The sequence below is a fragment of the Homo sapiens genome (genome assembly GCF_000001405.40).
Source record: "Homo sapiens chromosome 1 unlocalized genomic scaffold, GRCh38.p14 Primary Assembly HSCHR1_CTG1_UNLOCALIZED".
Lineage (NCBI taxonomy): Eukaryota > Metazoa > Chordata > Mammalia > Primates > Hominidae > Homo > Homo sapiens.
The window spans coordinates 162,258-166,542 of record NT_187361.1 but is presented as its reverse complement, the minus strand read 5'-3'; the positions used below and the strand labels follow the sequence as shown (position 1 = coordinate 166,542).

General features: G+C 50.3%; 1 annotated feature.

Annotated features, from left to right (window-relative positions):
* Positions 334 to 835: an enhancer, noted in NCBI's record as "OCT4 hESC enhancer chr1:143283469-143283970 (GRCh37/hg19 assembly coordinates)". NCBI's record gives its function as "activates a minimal SCP1, AML or CMV promoter by ChIP-STARR-seq in primed H9 embryonic stem cells {active_cell/tissue: H9 hESC(primed)}" and the evidence as "EXISTENCE:reporter gene assay evidence [ECO:0000049][PMID:30033119]".

The window sequence follows — 4,285 nt, the reverse complement described above, 5'->3', positions numbered from 1 at the left end:
AGAGTGGTGAAGCCATGCGTGGTGATGTAGAGTACTTCCACATCCCTGGTGAGAAGCTGCCCCTTGGGTCTGAGTTTCTGGGAGGGGAGAGGGAGAAGCTGGGTGAGGCAGGCATGAATCTTGAGGAGTCAGGGCTGGGGGACCGCTCATATTCTCCCGAGACCTGTGAGTCTCTGGGGGACTCCTGGGTGCATGGGGCTGGCTCCCGCAGGAACCTGGGGATGGCTGAAGAGTAACTGGGAGCCACAGGAGAGTCCCTGAGGCCTGGGGGTGAAGAGATGAAAGACACAGGGGTGGAGCACCGTGAGGCTCGTGAGTTTGTAGGTGATTCCTGGGTGTGGGGGGCTGACTCCAGCTGAAATCTGGGGTTGTTTGGAGAGTAGCTGGGAGACACAGGAGACCCCCCGAGAGCTGGGGGTGAGCTGCTGGGTGATGGCAGTAAGAGCATGTGGTATATTATTGATGAACGTGGGGACTCTGAGGAATCCTCAGAGGAGGACACGGGAGAGCCCAATGGCTTCATTGATTGCCCATCACGGTGAGGACAGGGAAATGGGAGCTTGTGGGATTCTGGTGATGACAGAGGTGAGTGTGGTGAAGCCCTAGGGGATGGTGAATGGTAGCTCCGGATCCCTGGTGAGGAGCTTCCCCTTAAGCCTGAGTTTCTGAGAGGGGAGAGGGAGAAGCTGGGTGAGGCTCGCATGGACCTTGGGGAGTCCCAGCTGGGGGACCGTTCATAAGAAGAGCCAGACAAGACCCTACTGTTCTTAGGTGCAGACATGATTAGGAAACCTGCAGCTCCCAGGGGCCCGTACCAATTTTCTAACTCGCAGAAGGAAGGAGTGTGTGTGTGCGCGTGTGTGTGTGTGTGTGTTTGTGTGTGCGGTGTGTGTTTGTGTGTGTGCGGTGTGAGGTATGTGCCCCTTAAGAAAATGGAAATCAACCAACCAATGAGACAGACAGACAGACAGACAGACAGAGATTCACTTGCCCAAGTGTTCTGTCCTGTCCTCTGAATCCGCTTCCAAGTCGCAAGACGCTGTGAGCTCCAAGTCCACGCAGAGTCCGCCAAACGCTCCGGCCGCTGATCCGCTCCGCGAAGATCTGAGTACAGGCCAGCCAGGGTGGGTTTAAATAGCCTCGGGCGCAGCCTAGCAGCGGAAAGGGAGGAGCTTCACTCCTCCTTTCCATCAGTCACCCCCAACTTTTCCAGGCTACACCTGGTAGGAAACTGTTCTCCTGCTTTGATTTCATGCGCCACCTTTGGGACAATCTAATAACTTACAAATTTCCTTGGCCAGATATATTAGGAATTGTATGCACTGAAACACTGAAAACCAACTAGTGGTTCTGTGGTTCCCACGTTGTGGTTTTGACACCAGCAGCATCCTTGCCACAATCAAACCCCGGAGATGCACAGATCTGTGTTGTAACAAGACCTCCCCCTGACCCTGATTCATGGCAGTTTAAGAAGTCTTTCCGTGTAAACGAAAAGACTTTGAAGAAAAGGTGGAGATATGCGTTGTATAAACATTCTTTTGCTCTGGAACCACGTAGAGACTTGGGAGCCAGTTGGGTGGAGCATTCGTTGGATGAGGGTGCTCGGGTTAGGAATATCAAGGTGTGGCTCCAGATAATCCAATCATGTAATTAAGATTCCAGTTATGCTCATCTGTTTTAAAATTCCGTTTGGGTAAATTCTTTTAGTCAGACTGAGAATGGCAAAGCCTCAACCCCAATTTCCAGGGAGGGTTGAGAGCCTCGGGTGGAGCTGATCACCAATAGCCTATGGTTTAACCCATCATGCCTATAGAAGGAGGTCTCCATAAAAACCCAAAAGGACTGGGTTCAGAGGGCTTCTGGATAACACTTCCTGGAAGGTAGTGCGCCCCTCCCCACATGCCGGGCCCCACATTTATTTCTGAACTTTTTGCAATGTCCGCTAAAATACAATGGCAAATGTAAGTGTTTACCTGCGTGCTGTGAGCTCTTCTAGCAAATGAATGCAACTAAATCTGGGAGTGGTGGCAACCTGATTTATAGCCAGTTGCTGAGAAGCACAGGTAAAACAACGTAGGGCTTCCCATTGTTATTAGTGTGGGAGGCCTGTCTGGCGGGACTCGGCCCTTTGGAATCTAACGCTATGTCCCGGTAGATAGCGTCACCATTGAATTAGAAGACACACATATGTTGAGAATAATCTCTCTGGTCTTTTGCTGCATGACTTATTTACAATACATAATCAAATATTTTATCCTGACCTTATGGCACCTGGGTTGAGAACCCATGATTTGAACCAAACATTGGTCTGTCACTTTCTGAGTTTGAAACTTTATTTTGCCTTTAGCGTTTTGTTATTGCTTTTTCGTTTTCTTTTGTTTCGTTTCGTTTCTAAGTTCGGGGTATATGTGCAGGATGTGCAGATTTGTTACTAAGGTAAACGTGTGCCATGGTGGTTTGCTGCACCTGTCAACCCATCACCTAGGTATTAAGCCCAGCATGCAGTAGCTGTTTTTCTTAACGCTCTGCCTCCCGAAAGGCCCCAGTGTGTGTTGTTCCCCTTCCTGTGTCCATGTGATCTCATTTTTCAGCTCCCATTATAAGTGAGAATGTGGCGTTTGGTTTTCTTTCCCTGGATTAGTTTGCTGAGGATAATGACCTCACATCACCAGTGTTTTTGTTTTTTAGTATAAAGAGTAGTATTTTATTGAATAAGATTTGCTCACAGAAAAATAAGCTTAAATCTACAATGAATGCCAGACTCTACAGCAGAAAGCAATTTCCTCACTTTTCCACACACAATGGTTCCTACTAAGCGAAAAAAAGCCATAAAATTTTATTCACAAATGTACTACTCTGTCTCAAAGCATCTCACATAATCATGCACTGTACTAAAGCCTTTAGATCAGTTCTTCAGTCAGGTTAAAGAAGTATTGATTGATGGGCAATCAATGAAGACATTAGGCTCTCCCGTGTCCTCCTCTGCGGATTCCTCAGATCCCCCACGTTCATCAATAATATACCACATGCTCTTACTGCCATCATCCAGCAGCTCACCCCCAGCTCTCGGGGGGTCTCCTGTGTCTCCCAGCTACTCTCCAAACAACCCCAGATTTCAGCTGGAGTCAGCCCCCCACACCCAGGAATCACTTACAAACTCACGAGCCTCATGGTGCTCCACCCCTGTGTCTTTCATCTCTTCACCCCCAGGCCTCAGGGACTCTCCTGTGGCTCCCAGTTACTCTCCAGCCATCCCCAGGTTCCTGCGGGAGCCAGCCCCATGCACCCAGGAGTCCCCCAGAGACTCACAGGTCTCAGGAGAATATGAGCGGTGACTCATATTCTGACTCCTCAAGATTCATGCCTGCCTCACCCAGCTTCTCCCTCTCCCCTCCCAGAAACTCAGACCCAAGGGGCAGCTCCTCACCAGGGATGTGGAAGTACTCTACATCACCCCGCAGGGCTTCACCACTCTCACATCCATCATCAACAGAATTCCACAGCTTTACGTTTCCCTTTCCTAACCAAGCAGGACAGTCACTCATGTCATTGTGTTCTCCCGTGTCCTCCTCTGGAGATTCTTCACAGTCACCTCATTCATCAATAATATACCATATGTTCTTACTGCCATCATCCAGCAGCTCACCCCCAGCCACCCATGACTCTCCTGTCTGTCCCAGCTATTCTCCAACTACGCCCAGATTTCGGCGGGAGTCTCTACCCCACACCCCAGAAACACCTACAAACTCACAGACCTCAGTGAGATCCTCGCCAGTCTCTCTCACGTCTTCACCCCCAGCCCTTACGGACCCTCCAGTCTGTCCCAGCTACTCTCCAACCACGCCCACATTTCAGCGCGGGTCAGTTCCAGGAACCCAGGGATCACCACCAAGCCCACCACTTTCACTGAGTTACTCCCCAGTCTCTAGCACGTCTTTATCTCCAACCCTCAGGGAGTCGCCTGTCTGTCCCAGCTACTCTCCAAACACGCCCACACTTCAGCGGGAGTCCGTTGCAGGCACCCAGAAATCACCACCAAACTCACCAATTTCACTGCATTACTCCCCAGTCTCTCTCATGTCTTCACCATCCCTCAGGGACCCTCCCTTCTGTCCCAGCTACTCTCCAACCACGCCCACATTTCAGCTAGAGTCAGTTCCAGGCACCCCGGAATCACCACCAAACTCACCAATTTCACTCAGTTACTCTTCAGTCTCTAGCACGTCTTTATCTCCAACCCTCAGGGACTCTCCTGTGTGTCCCAGCTACTCTGCAACCACGCCCA